The following is a 19,974-nucleotide window of genomic DNA, read 5'->3' on the forward strand; positions in this document are numbered from 1 at the left end:
TATTTGTGAATCTAATCATCTAAACATTGAAAAGGTACAGTAAAATGTGGTTAAAAAAAGGAAAGATGAAAAATTGTATACCTCTCTATAGTATTTACCATGAAGAGAGCTTACAGGACTGGAAGTTGCTTGCTCTGGGTAAGTCAGTGAGTGTGTATTGAGTAAATGTGAAGACATAGGACATTATTGTACAAAAATGTAGACTTTATAAACACTGTGCTTAGGCTACACTGTGTTTATAAAACTATTTTTCTTTCTTCAATAATAAATTAACCTTAGCTTATTGTTACCTTTTTATTTATAAATATTAAAAAAACCTTTGTATCTTTTGCAATAACACTTAGCTTAAAACACATTCTGCAGCTGCATAAAATGTTTTTCTCATCCTTATTCTTTAAGCTTTTTTCTATGTTTAATATTCTTATTTAACTTTTTAAACTGTTTTTATTAAAAACTAAGGCACAAGCACGGCATTAGCCAAGGCCTACACAGGAACAGGATTATCAATATCACTGTATGTCTTGTCCCATTGGAAGCTCTTCGGGGCAATTACATGCATGGAGCTGCCATCTTCTATAATAACAATGCCTTCTTCTAAAATATCCCCTGAAGAATATTCCTGAAGCTATTTTACAGTTAAGTTTTTTATAAGTAGAATGAGTGAACTCTAAAATCACAATAGAAAATATAATATAGTGAATACATAAATCAGTAACAGTCATTTATTATCATTATCAAATATGATACACTGTACATATATACTGTACATATGTATGTGCTATACTTTTATATAACTGGCAGCACAGATTTGTTTACACCAGCATCACCACATCATGTGAGAAATGTATTGTGCTATGATGCTATGATGGCTATGATATCATGAGGCAATTAGAATTTTTCAGCTCCATTATAATCTTATGGGATCATCATTGTATAGGCATTATATCATTGACCAAAATGTCATTAAACAATGCATGACTATAATCCTGATGCCTGATGCATAACAGACACATGATTTGACAATATTTTCTCTTCTTCTGAGGCTTGTCTTTCACTTTCTTGGATGTCCATTTTGAAGGATAAAATATTTTATTTTTGATGGAGTCCAATTCATCTATTTTTTGGTTGATTTGTCAATTTTTTTAACCTTTTCAAAGAACTGACTTATTTGTCTTTATTTCCTCTATTGTTTTTCTATTTTTTATTTACTTTTGCTTTTATAATTACTGTGTTCTTACTTCTGGTTGCTTTAGATTGCTTTTTCTTCTTTTTTAGTGTGTAACTGAAAAAGTTAAGATTTAAGTTTAGAATTTTTCATTTTAGATTTTAATTTTTTAAATATAAACATTTATAGCTATAAATTTCACTGAATATTCTAAATTTGGATATACTATGTTTTCATTTTCATTTATCTCAAAGTACTTTCTAATTCCTTTGTGACTGGTTCTTTAATTATTTAGGAGTAATATTTAATTCCATGTATTTGTGAGACCCTCAAGTTTTCCTCTAATATTGATTTCTAATTTCATTTTCTGGTTGTCAGCAAACATTTTTTGCATAATTTCAATCATTTTAAATTTTGCCAAGGCTTGTTTTATGGCCTAAATATAGTCTACTCTGGAGAATGTTCCATGCATGTGTGCTGGAGAAGAATGTATATATTATGTTGTTTTGTTTTGTTTTGTTTTGTTTTTTGATGGCTCTAGTGTTCTATATATGTCCGTAAGGTCAAGCTGGTTTACAGAGTTGTTTAAGTCTTCTGTTTCCTTCCTAATCTTCTGTCTGATTGTTCTGAAAATGTCTTTTCAATTTTTAAGATTTCGCTTTCATTTTAAACTAGTTTCTCACAGTGTGATATTTCTGATAGGCCTGGTATCCATTATAACTTCTATAGACTATGCCAATGATGTTATTACGAGGATTATGGTATCATGATACTAACAATAAACAGTATTAATATCAGCTGCTTTTTAATCATGCCTTACGATAAGAGTTTTTAAGATAAGAGTTTTCTTATGACAAATAATGATGATGGCAAGGGAAAATTCTAATTCTGAAACTATGTCCTTGTATAGTCCGTGATATCTATAACTGGAAATAATATTTTTTTCTTTTTTGAGATGGAGTCTCATTTTATTGCCCAGGCTGGAGAGCAGTGGAGTGATCTTGGCTCACTGCAACTTCTGCCTGCTGAGTTCAAGCGATTCCCCTGCCTCAGCCTCCCAAGTAGCTGGGACTACAGGTGCCTGCCACCACACCCGGCCAATTTTTTGTATTTTTAGTGGACACTGGGTTTCACCGTGTTAGCCAGGATGGTCCTGATCTCCTGACCTCGTGATCTGCCCGCCTCGACCTCCCAAAGTGGTGGGATTACAGGCATGAGCCACAGCACCCTGCCTGGAAATCGGCTTTTAAAAAATAGTCTTAAAAAGCTCTAAGGAGGGGTTGGAGAAACAACTATTAAATATTAGTTTTCCTTGAATAGCTGTTGCTGCCACTTTAACAATTGGTTGGAGTACAGAATTAGCGCAATGACATCCGCTATTAAACAATATCAGCCTAATATTAATATGAAGATACATATCAGACACAGCAGACGACTCTTCTTCAGTTTATTTCCCTGATAAACATGGCCAATGCTTTTCACATGTTATATAGGAGAGAACAGATTACAGTTTGCAGTTATGATTGCCTTCAGCTCCAGAGAGAAAAGAAGTTACTGTGGCTTAAAATTGCATGTAGCCATCTATACAGTAAATGGTCTTATCACTAGATTCAATGTATGACATGAATTAAATGATTCAAAACGCACTTCTAAGAGAGAGATGGTAATGTTTTGCCTTTAATTTTTAGTATTTTTTTCAGCTAAAAGATTTTTGCTGTTTTTATGAAAAATATCATTTTGCCTTTTAGATTCCTCTTTGTTCAAAATAAAAAATAAAGATATCTCTCTTTCCAAAATACTTTCATAGAAAAGGTGATGGCCCAAAGCTAAAGAGGAGAGGGAGTAGTAAGTTCCTGAAAACTGAAGAGTGACTTGACACCTGCAGTGTCCTCTGGCTAAGTGACTGGGAGGTTAGTTACCTGGGCCCATGAATTGTGAATTGTAGCCTAGGAGACTCCTTCCCAAGGCACTGTCCAATAGCTCTCTTGGAGATGACTACCACTGGCTTCCTTGCTGGTCTCCATACTCAATTTTTCATAAGATTGCAGGATCTTTTGGTGAACTTATTGGACTCTTGTCTTATCTTCCCCAAGATCATTTTTTTTCGCCCATCGTAGATCTTTTTATATGTATCATTTTTTTCCTCCAGTCATAGATCTTTTCATATGTGTTTGTTCTCTGGCTGCACATACCGGGGCTACCATGCTTCAATTGCCTTCACAATCATTCATAGTCAAGTGTCTCCACTGAGTGGAAGCCTGACATAGATGGTCACTGGACCTTTAATATCCCTAAATATGACTGAAACCCCCTGCCCTCCCCAAAACTGCCCAAGACAGGCACGGGGATTTTCTTTCTGCCTGCATGCCCCACTATGCCACTTTGGTTTCTCATCTGTCTGCTGCTGCTGCTATAGATTTTACACCCCCCTCCCTCCTCCCACCATAAACCTGCTTGCTCATCTCTATCCAGGGAAGGCTTTATTTTAGCAAAACTGATAGCAGAAATAAAGAAGAGACAACTTTGACACATTTTTTTTTCTCTACCCCATGACTCCCTTCTATCCCCAAGCTCTTATCTTTACATCTTCTAACCCTCAGGCCTTCTCACTTCATTTATTTATTCCTTCTTTTCTTCATTTATTCCATAAACATTCATTAAACATGTCAATGTGCTTGGTATAGAATGGTGAATGAGAAAAAAATTCATGTTCTATCAAGATTTATATTCCAGTCAGGAAGGCAGGCAAGAAATAAGTAACTAAGTAAATACATAAATGGCAACATTTAAGGTAATAAGTGCAATGAATAAAAATAAAGTAGGGTAAATGAAGGGAGGTAACCAGGCTGGTGGCAACTGTGGCTACGTAGTTTAGATTAGAATAATCAGGAGAGACCTCACAGAGCACTTCTCATCAACCCATAGATCTTATCCTGCTGGATTCCCAAAGCCCCTTTCATCATTCATCAAGTGGAAGAATTTGAAGTAAAATGGAAGATAAGTTCCTAGTATTAGAGGTAGAAACTTGAGATTCATTATCCACTAAATATTGTTCTGCAGTGGGGTAGAGGTTTTGTAGCAATTCATGCCAGCTGCTTATATAACATCCATTATCTTCTTCCATAACAGAATACCACTTTTTCTTAAAAAGTAACAAAGATACAACAATGTATACATCATAAGTACACAGTTTAATGAATGAATGCATGATGAACACACTTATTTATCCATCTCCTCTCAGACTTTCTTTTGTCTTGTCCTAATCATCATTCACTCTGTTCTTGACAAAGTTACACTTAATTTTTACTTTGAATACAATTGATAGTTTTTGCCTCTTCTGAATTTTAAAAGATATGATACATTTTGCATTATTTTTGTCTTTGGCTATTTTTGCTTAATATTATATTGGTGAGATTTTCTCAAGTGGTTACATATATAGGAGATTTACTCATTTTTATTGAAATATGGTATTCTCTTATGTGAATATAAAGACACTTATTTAGGCATTCTAATTTAAATGAGCATTTTCATTTTTATTCCGATTTGGGAGATACAATAGTACTACTTTGAACATTCTTGTACATGTCTTCTGGTTAAAAAGGTGTATGTATTCTGTTTTTATATGTCAGTAATGAAATGCTGGATCATAATTTATACATATGTTCAATACTGATTGTACTAATATAAATGCTTCTGAGCAGTTTATGAGTTTCTGCTGGTCTACATCTTTACTAGCATTTGGTATTGACAAACTTTTTAACTGTAGCCATTTCAAGTTGATAATATTTCATATAGTTATTATCCATTTTGATATCATTAAAGTGACTATTCAAATTTCTTATCTATTTTTCTATTGCATTTTTTTTATTTATCAGAAGTTCTTCATACATTCTTGGAAAGCAAAGCCTTTTGTTGTTTATAAATACAGAAAATACCATTTTTTTCCATATATAGAGACGCCTTTAATTCTGCTAATGGTATCCTTAAGTAAACATAGGATTTGTGGCACATGAACTCTTCTGTATGTAGGTATTTATTTCTTGTACTATTTGCTAACACAAGTCACAGCTGTAGGAAAAAATAATTCTGAGATGAGAATTTGGTCTATTTTTTATACAGATTAATTTCATATTTTATGACTCAACAACTAAAAATATTAGCCTCAAGTTTTTAATCTCATCCATACTCCTTTCATAACTAGACATAATACTACCTAAATTTACTGGTTTTGCTCAAATAAGGGCTTTATAAAACATTATTATTTTCTAATAACATTGTTCTCTAGCTTAGTTCTTATGAAATATGAGTACCTTTTTCTTAGGGATAAACACGTCTATTTTATTGGAAATCCTGTGAAAGTGTGAAGTCAAACTTCAGGGTTTGAGATTGGTGACCTGTTCAGAGGATTCTTATCAACCTGAATCTCATTCTGGGGTGAATTTTTACTACAGGAAACAAAAATACTTCTTTCATTTAGCCAACAGTGCAAGAAACGTAAACATTCCAAGAGCAAAGGAAAAGCAAATTAAAACAAACAAACACCAGTTCTTTTCTATGCTAGGGATTATGTCATAAAATCAGAAAGATCTTTAAAGGTAGATGGTTTCCCTCATTTTGAATTTCAGATGTTTTAGGAAAATTATCTTTTCACATTTGGGAACAATCCTAAAAGGAAACCCCTACTACAGTGTAGATAACCCTTATCTGAAGCTACTTTCTTTATCTTACAGTTTGTATGTGAACATCTACTAGGATTGGAAAAATGTAATGGAGTCGAGAAGCAGGAGGCACAGAGAACAAACTGTGATCAGTTCAGTCCAGATCAGTAAATGGGCAACAGTTTAAAATTGTTGGGTTCAGAGGAAGATCATTTCAAATGGAACCAGAAATAACTTGAAGTTCAGGAAAGAAACAGGACATAAAATGATCTGAAATCTGTGCCCATTTGAAGAGGAATATGGACAACTCAAGAGTTCAGTAACTAAAACCAGGATAGTACTGTGATTTGGTAACTACACTTCTTAAACACACTGCAGATAGGTTTGTTTAGATTACAGGTTGGTGGGAAATTGAGTAGCATCTGTGGATTAGTGGAAGCCCCTTTTTGGGATGAAGCCAGCAATATCAATATTTGTGCATGACAAACTAATGTCCTCAGATATTTCTCCTTCCACACTGTAAAATATTTAATAGAAAAGGTAGCTTTGGGGTCTCACTACTCCTCACTGGCAGACATGCATGCACATTTGATCTCTGCCCTATAGCCCCTTTTCCTGTGCTTCTGTTTCTCCCCGTGGGGGGAATGGCTCTCCCTGAGGTGCATTCTGGGGATGCAGGTCAATCCAGTTGGCCGTTATTGTCCAAAGGAAGTTGAAAGAGGCCACTACCAGGAAGAAAACATTGGAGTCTCCTCTGTATAAGATGCAACCTCCTAGTTTCTGCTTCCAGAGAAGACTAGTCACACGTTCAATCCTCTCTCTGCCTCATTCACAATCCTTAGGCCTTAATCTCCTGTGAGCCTTTCCCCCTGCGGTGACCTGGAGGCATGGGCTGTTTGGGATTGCCATTTGGCTTCTTGAGCACTTCGGTTCTGGGGTTCTGTGGTACAGAGAAAAGGCCTTGGACAAGTCCACCTGTGGTGGTATCACCAGAAAGATGAGTGATGGCGGTGTTTCTATAGAGCCCCATGAGGCCCTCTGCCATTGCTGAATTTTGTGTTGAACACAGAAATGATGTTAATATACATTTTGAAAAATCCAAAGTTGCATTTCTCTTGGAGAAAGTTAATCATTGTAAACATTTCAATGAAATTATCTTTTTCATTGGGTAGATCCAAATGTTTCCAAGCATAAAAGAACAGATGGGTCAACACTATGTTTGTGAAAAGGGGAATCTGGGCAGTCATGGCCAAGGTTAACAAAAGAGCAAAGCATGTTTGGCTTAGTGTTGACTCACATAATTGGAAAGAAAAGAAAGATGATTTAGATATGTTTAATTCTGACCATTTCTCTGAGACGATAAACATGGGTGGTGATAAGGATGTATATTTACCAGAAGTAGAGGGAACAGATGATGATCCAATGATGATTTTAAAGGCCAAATCTGGAGTAAGGAATATTGCTGTCACCAGGATTGTGAGAAAAAGAAGCAAATTTTCTGCAAGATTCCGTAATTGAGAGAATTTCTGAGTTGATAGCTATAATGGTAGAAGCTGTATTTCTCCCCTTTAACCCATTTTTCAACTTGTTTGTTTTTTAAAGGTCTTCACCAAGGGTTGAATGGGACAACTTTATATTGTGTAGGATAATTTTAAATCAGTTCAGGCAATAACCTTACACATAAACATTTCCATTCTATGAGATTGTTGAGGTCCTAGGCAATTGATATCACAGTTGTAATAAATAAAAACATTTTTTCTAAGTCTTCTTAACTTCCCAACATAGATATGGGCATGTAGAAAGTTCTCAGCATATGGAAAGATAACCAAATTTTAGACTTCAGAAAATGGACTTAAAAGTTGTGAAACAAATTACCTGACACTTTAAACTGGCAACCTATTGTTCCTCTAGGGTATCCTTCAGGACTTTTCCACTACAATTTTAGTTTTATAAAAAAAATACACCTTGTTTTACATAAGAGTCACTTATCAGTGTTGCAGATACATAATAATTAAAACTAATGAATATCCTAACTTACATGGTTGTGAATCCTGTACATTTAGTATGGTTTGACCCTTAAGCTTTGACAACTTTGAGCATGGGGTACAAAGATAAACTATGTTATTGCTGGAAAGTCTGTATATTTAGAACCAAATTTGTAATTTCACTATTGATATGGAAAATGAGAGATTTAAAAGGTTGATACGATATTGTATCTTTTTCATCTTTCTATTAAGCTTACATCAAGGCTGAAACACCTCAGTTTGTTTTCATAACAGTGGAGATATTTATTCATGTCTACATTTTTATAATAAATTATTAGAAGAATTAAAAAAGCATCCAGTGTTAGAATATCCCTCTTCTTACACAACCACACTTTCTCCCTCAATACATACACTCAGGTAAACTTAACATGTTCTACTTTTTAATCACGGAGCATATTCGAACAGAGGTATCCACAATATGCAATTATCACTATATCTCTAAATTTAAAATTTGACCTTTGTCTTTGTCAGAGAGGGGAGAAAATGCCACAGTTGAAGAAGCACAGTGTTCTTTATTCTTATTCAAAAGGCAGGGTCTTCATTTCCATTCCTGAGTACTTTTCCCACTTGAATATTTTCTTTATTGTTACAGCTAACAGAAGATGGATCCATTTTCAGTAAATATGGTGATTCTAATTTTCAGTCCTTTAGTTTTCACCTGACTCTGTTCATTATTATTCCTCTTGTTTAATTCTACCTGAGGCTGCTCCTCTAAGGGAACAATTCACTTAGATTCTTTAGAGTACAAACCTATAAATGCTGTATTTGCATAGTTTGGGTTGTCCTAAATATTCTAGCTACTTATCTATTAATGTTTTTCTGTTTATTCTCTTAGAATTTGTTAAGCTCAGATAAAGTGAGATAAAAGTGACTCTAAGAAAACTCAATTGTTTGTATTTTGACTATAAAATATATATTTCAATAAAAGGTACTGACACTTTATAGATGTTTTTAATAAAAATAACTTGGGATGAAGTTAGTTGAATGTGAAGCCAGAAAGAACCACGTGTTATCATTTATGAATTATGTTTACATTTCCATTGATAATTCTCAAGTGTTATAAATTTAAACTAGATTCTTTGTTGTTATTTGTAACAACAGCAAATGATGATCATTTGAAATTCACGGTTATACTGCAGGATCTCCACAAGACTAACTTACCTAAATACATATGTATTTCATACAATTATTAAGAACATAAATATATAAACTATGACTCATATTTGCTAAAAGTTCTTTCCCACTGTGAACATTAGTCTTTGTCTATTGTCTTTAAGCAAAGGTGATAAAATTGTCCACAGTTAAAGTGGCCATTAGGCAACTCTGTCATTCTGTGAGCATCACAGAGTGTACTTACACAAAAGTAGATGGTATAGGCTGGGCGCGGTGGCTCATGCCTGTAATCCCAGCCCTTTGGGAGGCCAAGGTGGGCAGATAACCTGAGCTGAAGGCTTTGAGATCAGTCTGGCCACCACAGTGAAACCCCGTCTCTACTAAAAATACAAAGATTAGCCAGGCTTGGTGGCATGTGCCTGTAGTCCCAGCTATTCGGGAGTCTGAGGCAGAAGAATTGCTTGAACCTGGATGGCGGCGGTTGCAGTGAGCCAAGATTGAGGCATTGCACTCCAGCCTGCGTGACAGAGTGAGATTCCCCACCTCCCTCAAAAGAACAACAACAACAAAAAGATGTAATAGCCTACTATACTACCCACCTAGGCTATATGGTATAGCCTATTCCTCCTAGGCTATAAATTTATATATCATGTCACTGCACTTAATGCTGTAGGCAATAGTTACACAATGGTGTTTGTGTATCTAAACATGAAAAGTTACAATAAATAGGGTATAAAATATTTAAAATGATACCCCTGTATATGCAACCCATTACAATCTTATGGGGTCACCATCACATATGCAGTCCATCATTAACTGCAATGTCATGTTCCCACGGTTTGCCATGGTTACTATGGGACTGAATGAAGGGGGACAAATGCAGAAATGAAAACTTAAAAGAAACTGTTTTAGAGAAGGGGTCTGGGGAAGAAGAAGGGCTCCCTGCTTCTAGTGAGCAAAGGCAGCAGCCACCCTGAGCTTCTACAGCCCTTTGTATTTATTGGGCAGAAAGAGCAGCCAGGAGGAGGTAATGATTGGTCAGCTGCTTAACTGATCATGGGTTCATATTATTGCTAACAGGCTTCAGATGTGCCTAATCACAAGCAATACTGCACTTGGGGCGTGACTGCCCTCAGCATTCCTTCTGGGTGGCAGATGCAGTTTGTCAGTTTCCCAACATTCTGCATTCATGAGAACAGTCTACTATTTACTCATATAGCTTCCAGTGATACACTGAGTTGATCACTAACCTCACTCTTTTGCCCTGCAACATCATGTGACACATAATTATAAATTGATAAGTATTAATAAGCAGTTTTTTAAAAAATCTCAGTTTTACTGTATAATAGATTGAGTGTTGATAGAGATATAAACCACATAAACAAGAGCTCTTTGGGGTCCCCACTGACGTTAAAGAATGAAGGATTTTTCAGTACAACAATTGTGAAAATAACAGCCTTAAATGACAGTCCACTGTTGTTATTACTAGGGCAGGTGGAAGCCACTGCCAGTTGAGAACTCTGTGACTGAGAAACACATTTGTTCCTTGAAACCTTGGTTTCATCATTTGTGGAATTAGGATAATAATGGTGCCGTAATATTAAGTAAATAGTATTACATCTGTAAAGTGCTTACTGAAGTGCCTGCACATAAATAGATATTGATCATTGCTAGAGATCATTTTTGTCATCACATAAATGAGAATTTATTGAATGTCCACTTCATGGCTAACATGAGACTCCTCTTTTGGAGATCAAAGAAGCACATGATGATGAACCAAATTTCCCCAATTAAATACTCATTGAGACAATGAATAGCAACACACACACATTGCTAAGAGAACAATAACAGAAAAACAAGAGAAAAATAAGTTGAGGCACATTTAGCACAAGACACCTTGTAATTATTCTAGGTGTTCAGAGAAGAAAAAGCGACCAGAAAGAGGTTGGAGTAGGCAACATTTCCCTGCTTTTATGGACTTTTGAAAACTTCTGAACTTCTCAAAGAATGGGAGCAATGTGAATATCAGAGAGGAGATAGAAGGGTATTCCAGGAAAGGTCATAGTAGAAGCAAAGAAATCTCCAAGAGAAGTGGCTGCTGGAGAAGAATAAGAGAGACATCATATAAGGGTAAGGGAGTTAAATTAAAGAAATAGATTGAAAAAGTAGGGAGAGGAGATTTAATTTGAAGAGGTGAGTTATAGGTAATTTATGCAGGATCTTGCACAAAGGAACTATATGAGGAAAGTTGTAGTTTTCTTGTTTACAGCAGTGCCCACTCTACAACTTGTTTACAGCCATGTACTCAGAACAATGTACGTTACTAAATGATTTACATGCAGTATTGCTTTTAATCTTATGATCACCTCATGAAGTGCTGTCATGAACATTGAGATTTCCTCCACAAATTTATTCAAATTCTTCCTCTTGATATACCAGCTACATGGTTCGATGGCATTGACTCCCTACTTTTACCACACCCTGAGAGTGGACCTTGATTGCTCTCACGGCGTTTGTTTGATGGTTGTAGGGAATTATAGGCACTCTCCCTTTAGTTGAATAAAGGCACCTTGCAATGATTAGGAGAGTCATGCTGAGGACAATGCAGACACATTGAATATGGTAAAGCTAGGAAAAATGCAGAGCCATAGTTCTGTGATTGATGCCTACATTCACATTTATCAACTAATACAGTCCTTTGTTTAATCTGAGTTGTATTTTCTGTAACCTGCAACTAAAAATATCCTGTCTGATACAAATAGATATTTTCATCTATTTTAAAGTTGCAGAAAGTAAAGCTTAGAGAGATTACGTTAATTGCCTAAGACCTCTAAGCCAGCAAATGTCAGTGCCACGAATTGAACTTGGCTGAATGTAACAGAAAAAACAATGAATTTTTCATTTAAGAATGTTTATCTGTCTAGTAGGACTTCAGCTGAGACTGGCAAATGCACAGCAGGCTAACATGCTAATAAGCACCTGTGGGTTCAGTCAAGTGTCAGCATAATTTGTGATAATGGGGGAGAAGAGAAGAGAAACCTTTGATACACACTTCCTTCGCCTTACTTGCAGGCACCAAATTGCTTGAGCAAATAATTTTACCTTCTTTTCCTGTTTCCCCTCCTATACTATGAAGTTACTCTCCAATGATGACAGATGACATGCTAAGAGTAACACCTAAATAAACATGCAATTCTTTTACACATGTTTAATTTAAAATGGTAATTATGGTGATGATTCCAGATTTTAGAAAGAAAAAAAAGGAAAAGTACAGATTATGTCACTCCTAATCATACATCAGAGAAACCAACATGATATTCCATTTATTTTGTGATTTTGTGGTTTTGCATGTGTGTGGTTTATAATTATGGTAGTGACATATAAATGTACATATTCATTTCTCTATTTGACACTATAAATGTGTGTCTCTTCACTTAGTATATTTGAAAAGAAGATTGTGAGTGTTGCATGATAGTCTGTTCTTTGGTGTAGTAATATTTAAACATATTGAAATGTATTTAACCATTTCTCAATATGTAATAGATTAATTCTAATTTTTTTGAAGTAAAAAAACTGTGTGTGTAACAAATTTTTCTTACACTTAAACACAGATTAGATTCCTACATGAGTAAATATGTGCTATAACTTTTTAAAGGATTTTTTTATATAAAATGCCAAATTACATTTTAGAAAGTTTGGGCCAGTGTAAAATCATGTCAGGAGCGTAATAGCCCATTTTGCTTCACCCTAACCAATATTGAAATTTATCATTCTTTTCATTATTTGTTATTTGCAAGGTAAAAACAAAACAAAAAAAAACCAAACCTAAGAATTCTTGAATTAGTTTTACTTAATAAACCAAAAGAATTAAATTTTTGTTTTCATTAGTGTCACTTATATGATTTATAAATCACACATTTTCCTCTGGCTTTAATATGTAGGTACTTTTTGTTTTTTTAAAAATGTCTTTAAATATTAATATTATCATTAATTTATTCAAACATTATTTCTGGTTTGCTGTTTGCTTTTAATTTGTTTATGCATTTAAGTGTGAACAGTTTCTAAACCCATTCTTAGAAATTGATCACACCATGCTATTTTTCTCTTTCTTATTTATTTAGTTTTTCAAATCCACAAAAAGAAATCCATCAATAACTCTGTGAGATATTTAAGGATATAGTTCTTTTGTTTGGTTAAGGTTACATTTAACTTTTAACCATTTGACATTTAAATTGGTGTTTTGCCAGAAAATGGCCTACTTTTTCATAATCTTCTTCATCCCTATTAAAGGAAATAGAATCGAAATGATGAAGACACGAATGATTTTTGGAAAAGGTGATAAACACATTATTCACTTGTTGACATTCTTCTATCGACATTAGTCAGGTATTATCTATATATGAATGAGGTCTTGTGTTTAAGGAATATGCACTTCAGTAGGATATGATATACATAACTGATTGTGGTGCAAACAAACAAAAAGTTCACAAAAGATAATTAAATACTGTGGTGTAACAAGAAAGAAAAGAGAGAGGAAGGAAGGAAGGTCAGTCAGTCAGGAAGAGGGACAAATAAGAAAATACTATAGTTGTTGGGAGTAGAATCACACAGAAAGTTTCAAACAGACAGAGGGCATCCCTTAATTTGGCCATGGAGAAGGAAAAGAAACAATAGGTAGAGGAATAGTTGAAGTTTTGTAGGCTCAGGGATATCATTAATAAGAATTTATGAAACCTATTTGGGGAATTTTGAGCAGTCAGTTCTACTGCAGTGACAGAAAGTAGTGTACAACAGGCACATTATGACTTTAGGGCCTCAATATGGAGAGCCTGTTAATTTAAGGTTCAAGAATATTCTTTTTAAAATATATTTTTATCAAAATGCAAGTAATGAATTGTTACAAAACATTTTTAAGGGAGTGGTAATAAGAGGGCTCTAAAAGTAAGAAAATAATCCGGTAGAGAAATACGGTTTTCTAGGATGGAGAAGCCTAAAAGTACAGAGACTACTGTAGATAAGTAGTATTGGGTCCCTGAGTTAGGACATGTTCAGGGGAACTGAAAGTGAAGCTTTAAATGAAAGAAAAATGTGGAGGCAACAATCTAAAGAACTTCAAAACTGATAGCACGTGGAGACAGCAAATGAGTCAGAGTTGAACCCAAATTTGTCATATGAAGCATTGATTAGTCACTGGTTTCAGGAACTTAATATGTGCTTGAAATAGCGCGGCTGCAACTTAGGATAGAGACCATGGCTACAGATGTAGATCTGCAAGTCATTAGTATAGATATGTTAGAGCTGGGGAATAGATAACATTTCCTAGAAATGCTAAACAATTTTGGAAAATACTTAAGGAGCTTAAGTTGGAAAAGAAGTCAGTGGAAAAAAACAGAGAAGCCAGTGAAAGGTACAAAAGGAATGGACAGGGAAGTAGGGGCACAACAAGGCAAAGGTTTGGTGCAGCTTGGTGCCAGGAGGTCCAGCAAAATGCCATCAAGAAAGGGCTTTTAGAATTGGTCTTTGGGAAAATATGTAGAGTATTAATATTAAAGAAGCTGGCCAGATGCAGTGGCTCACGCCTGTAATCCCAGCACTTTGGGAGGCCAAGGTGGGTGGATCACTTGAGGTCAGGAGTTCGAGACTAGCTTGGCCAACAAGGTGAAACCCAGTCTCCACTAAAAATACAAAAATTAGCTGGGCGTGGTGGCATACACCTGTAGTCCCAGCTACTTGAGAGGCTGAGGAAGAAGAATTGCTTGAACCCGGGAGGTGGAGTTTGCAGTGAGCCGAGATCCTGCCACTGCACTCCAGCCTGGTGACAGAGCGGAACTCCGTTAAAAAAGAAAAAGAAAAAAAAAAAACTAAATTACTATGCAAACACAAGAATTTCATGGTGGAGGGAGAAGAAATGTGAGCTATTTTAAGCTGTTTTTTTGAAATTTCTATAGCACAGAAAAGAAAAAAAGGCCAAAATAACTTACAGATGCATCCAATTAGAGGAAATGTCCCTTAGGAGGAGAAACAAATAGTTTGATGTTAATGTTTATTTTGTTGTTGCTCTCCATTTGGCATGGAAAACTATTAAAAATATAGAGATGAGTATGAAAAGAAGCTGTCCAAGAGGCCAGTGAAAGATAGGCAAGAACTAATCACACAAGATAAAAAGGTGGTAGTAGATGAAACATAGGTATTTAAAGACAACCAAAAGAGGCAACGCTATATTATATAATATTGACCCAAGAAAGCATATGAGATGTTATTTCGTGAGCATAAAGGGTCCAGAAGTGAAACTGGAGGGTGAAGAAAAGTAGGAAATATTTGTAAGAGTAATCACTGAAAATAAATCCAACATTCAAAAAGAAATAAATAAAAATATGTATTGGTAGTAGGAAGAAGCAGACTATGATGAAAAAATGTAAACTTTTAAGTAGGTACAAAAACAGATCTGTGGATTTACCTAGCAATATAAGAATGGGTTTTATTCTTTGCAGCTGAGGGATAGATAGAGCATATATCCTAGATAGATAGATAGATAGATAAATAGATAGATAGATAGACAGACAGATAGATAGACAGATAGCAAGCATACATCATAGATGCTTTATCATAGATAAAGCATACATCAACAATCTTTATTTCATGTATTTGTTTAGTAACATTTAATGGTCATATATTTAGAACATATTACACACTTCTACTAGATAAGGTGTGAGTAGAGATATAAGAATACATAGGACACAGTTCAAACTATTGAATAATTGAGAGTTTGGAAGGTATGAGAGGCTAATATATGGACATGCACAGTGAAATATACTGAGTGCTTGGATGCAGATATGCTCTGGGATTTTCAGGAAGTTTTTCCATAGGATCATGAGCTGTAAGTCACAAAGAATGAGTAGAAATTACCCAGTGTGATAGGATGGTCTAGGAGTAAAGAACATTCCATACAAATGGAAACATGCAGACAAAGATTCACAGGGCTGAATGAGGACTGAGAGGAGAACTAAATAGAGCTTCATATGTCTTGAACACAGTACACTGTTGGACAATTGATGATGGGCAGATGAGACTGATGGATATTCAAGACTCAAATGGAAAGACTTGGTTTGACATACTAAATATTTGAACATGAAGACAAAAGGAATTTATTGAAGGATTTTAAACAAGTGACCAACATGACATATTTAATATTTCAGAAAGATTACTCTGTGATGGGTTAGTGAAAAAACTGGAGAAGGATATACCATATGTGTTTAACATTAACACAAGTTAAAAAATTATTGCAATAGTCCAAGTGAAATGTGATAAGGGTAAACCTAAATCAATGACAGCAGGAATAAAAAGGGAAAAGATTACAGATATGAGAGCTATCAGGCAGTCAGACTTAATATGAATGATGACTGACTGGATAAGAAAGGTGAGACATGGGAGGAGTCATTCCATTGGAAGAAACTAGTGATACCATCTGAAAATAATAAAAGAGAAGTGAGGAGCATGGAGTATGGAACTAGAGGCATTGTTAATGCAGCAATGGAAAAAGTTGAAGGAGTCTGTGATTCTAGGTAGGACATAGACACACAGTTGAAATAGCAGACCTTGGGATATATGTTAGGGCAAATGAAATAAAAAGATAAATCAGGGAGGCCGAGGTGGGCAGATCAGGAGGTTAGGAGATCGAGACCATCCTGGCTAATATGGTTAAACCTTGTCTCACTAAAAATAGAAAATATTAGCCAGGTGTGGTGGCGGGTGCCTGTAGTCCCAGCTACTTGGGAGGCTGAGGCAGGAGAATGGTGTGAACCCAGGAGGCGGAGCTTGCAGTGAGCAGAGATCGTGCCATTGCACTCCAGCCTGGGCAACAGAGCGAGACTGTCTCAAAAAAAAAAAAAAAAAAAAAAGAGATAAATCCATGGAGCTAGAGGTCAAGGGGGGAACACAAAGGCACTGTATACCAGGAAGTGAAGAAAGTAGAAGGCTAAAATATCTGATTTTCTTACTAGATGGTCTATTTTTAGCCTTTGCTTCTAGGACCATCCATATATTAATGACTCCAGCTCTTATGTCCTCTATCCTGGTTTCTCTCTAAACCTCCAGCATCATGTTTCCAACGTTCTTTTCTTAATTTCTCTATGACAATTTTCAGCAGACACTTTGAACTTAACCCATATCCCAAACTGATCTTGTGTCTATCCAGGAATTATATTGCAAATATTCACAATCAGTATGGTACAAGCTCCTACTCATTGCAATAGGTCTTCAATTAATCAGAATGAACAATAGCAGTAAACAACTGGTGAGCCAGACCAGTGTATGCCAGCTGAATATCAAGTTCTTGCATTTGCACTTTATGTCAATAGCTCTACCATATGGCAGTTTTCAGTTATTGTAAAGACAAATTGTCATTCCTGACAATACAAACACTTGGATAGCAAAAAAAATTAAGTACTTAGTTGGTTAAAATGAATTCCCATTCTATGGGAATGTGCTAGGAGCTAGAATAACTGTTTTTTTTGTTTTTGTTTTTTTTTTTGTTGTTTTTTTTTTTGAGATGGAGTCTTGCTCTGTCACCCAGGCTGGAGTGCAGTGGCACAATCTCGGCTCACTGCAAGCTCCACCTCCTGGGTTCAGGCCATTCTTCTGCCTCAGCCTCCCAAGTAGCTGAGACTACAGGCACCTGCCACCATGCCCACCTAATTTTTTGTATTTTTAATAGAGATGGGGTGTCACCGTGTTAGCCAGGATGGTCTCGACCTCCTGACCTCGTGATCCGCCCGCCTTGGCCTCCCAAAGTGCTGGGATTACAGGTGTCAGCCACTGCGCCCGGCCCTAACTGTGGTATTTTTTTAATAATCAGAAGAAAATAGAGCATAGTTTTAAAGTGTATATCAAATTTAGATATATAAGGGGCAAGGATATATATTTCAAAGGAGAAAAATGACACCTTAATGTTCTAAAATAGTTGTCGATTCAGTTTTCTTTAATTGGTATTCATTATTGATGATATCTGTCATTGAGTAGTAAAGGTAGATTAAAATGACAGCCCACAAAGAGCAAGAGGAAAGGCTTTCTTGTGTCAGATAATTCTGAAACTATTTTCTATTTAAGATCCAGGATCTAAAAACTGAGATCTAAAAACTGATAATTCTCCCTATGACATTGGGCTTTAATAATTTCTTCACATACTAACTTATTAACTTTTTGTTCCAACTCTAGTCATGGTTTTCTCATATATCACAGAACCATTACAAACAAGTAATAGTTGATTTGCTAAGATATTAAAGTATGAAGTAAAGCTTTCCTAATTTTCAACCCACTTAGCTTTGTTTTATGGAAAACTCAAGCCTATTACATTTTATTTAATATTCTTAGCCTAAAATACTTTATAGATTTTGTGCCTGGGTAAAACAAAAGAAAAACTGTTTTAAGAAATTCTTCATTTGACCTCAAAATAAACTCAATAATAAATTACAAAAATATGTCATTTTTGGACTAAAGTCAACAATATAATAAGCCTGGTTTATCCATTGGCTTTGAGTCACAGAAAGTCCCTTGATAATGTGTGACAAAGTATTAAACTTTAACAATCAAAACAGAGTTTCTGTTGAGGAATAGAACTTTCTCAGTGGACATTATATTGATTTTCATTATTTTTACAGGCAGAAAAGAAAAAAGGAAGATGGTGATTGCTAATAGTAAGAGTTATACTGACATGACTATATATAAAATATTGTGGAAGAATTCTGCCCTTTCTACTAAGAATCCCATTAAATACTCTCATTACTTTCTTTATCATGTAGATTATAGTGATATAAAGAATGGGTAATTTGACAGTTTTCTAATTATGCAGTGTCCTTTTTTTTTTTTTTTTTTAGAGTTTCTCGCTCAGAGTTGCCCAGGCTGGAATGCAGTGGCGCGATCTCAGTTCACTGCAACCTCCAACCCCCGGGTTAAGTGACTCTCATGCCCCAGCCTCCCGTGGGACTACAGGTGCATGCCACCATGCCCAGCTAATTTTTTACTTTTAGTAGAGATAGAGTTTTCCTATGTTGCTCAGGCTGGTCTTGAACTCCTGAGCTCAGATGATCCGCCCGCCTAGGTCTCCCAAAGTGTTCGGATTACAGGCGTGAGCCACCGTGCCCCGCCTTGTCTTGTAAATTTTAATAGTTAATTTATGTTTATTTCATTTATTGAGAAGTTAGTGGGGTCTTCTGAATTTGGCATGCACCATCCATAATTATCTGCTGTTCCTGGGCACTTATATAAATGAGGTGAATGGTGGCAATAGTGACCTAAAGCAGGAAGTCCAGATAACCATGCTGGAGAAGATTCTGTTGTACAATGTAAATGAAGCTGGCAGACCATCAAGTACTAATGAGCCTAGAACTATTTGCACAATATTATGGAAAGGCCCTAAAACTGAGTGTTCTCTACTATGTAGTTGTAATGAAGGAATTTCCACTTCTGTGGCCAAAACACTAGGAAAATCTATTAGAATATACAAAACAAAGGTCTTCAGAAGTTGAACCACATACAGTACAGTATTGTGATTCCTAAGATAAAACATGAGATTAGCCATAGGGCTGCCCAGTTTACTTCTTGGAGGTAGTTTCCTAACTGCAATGCAGGAAAGGGGAATCCGAACAGAGCCAGGTGGAGTTTTTCCATTTAGAAAATATGATTTGAGTTCAGGGATCCCAAAGCGGCTCAAATATGTAGAGCAGGCTACTGTAGAGGAATGAACTTCTTGGAAAGACAGTTGTGGAGATCTGAAAGTCCCCACTTGAATCCTTAAATGCATATTAAATTGCAATTGTGTGAGAGGAAACAGCCACTAGAATAGAGCAGACAGGACCCTTTTCAGCACTCAAATAGGGCTGGGAATAGTTTATGTGTTTACCAATCGTAGGAACAAGAACTCATAATACAAGAACATTAGGTAAAAATTATCAGATAAGTGTTGGATTAATTGTGGGAAAAAGTTAGTCTGAAATTA

The 19,974-nt window shown here is 35.6% G+C and overlaps 1 long non-coding RNA gene and 1 pseudogene across 1 annotated transcript in view, besides 1 other annotated feature; both read left to right on the plus strand.

Moving 5' to 3' along the window:
• The window catches only part of LOC105378476 (uncharacterized), a 43,084-nt gene extending 37,140 nt beyond the window's left edge, over nucleotides 1-5,944 (plus strand). The window contains exon 4 of the long non-coding RNA XR_946307.3: nucleotides 5,896-5,944. This is a non-coding gene — a long non-coding RNA (uncharacterized LOC105378476). The remainder of the gene's footprint in view (nucleotides 1-5,895) is intronic.
• Nucleotides 6,873-7,306, plus strand: PTGES3P5 (prostaglandin E synthase 3 pseudogene 5; annotated as a pseudogene).
• Nucleotides 14,039-14,118: a silencer, noted in NCBI's record as "silent region_2803". NCBI's record gives its function as "represses an Ori minimal core promoter by ATAC-STARR-seq in GM12878 lymphoblastoid cells {active_cell/tissue: GM12878}" and the evidence as "EXISTENCE:reporter gene assay evidence [ECO:0000049][PMID:35858748]".

Source organism: Homo sapiens, chromosome 10 (genome assembly GCF_000001405.40).
Source record: "Homo sapiens chromosome 10, GRCh38.p14 Primary Assembly".
Taxonomy (NCBI): Eukaryota; Metazoa; Chordata; class Mammalia; order Primates; family Hominidae; genus Homo; species Homo sapiens.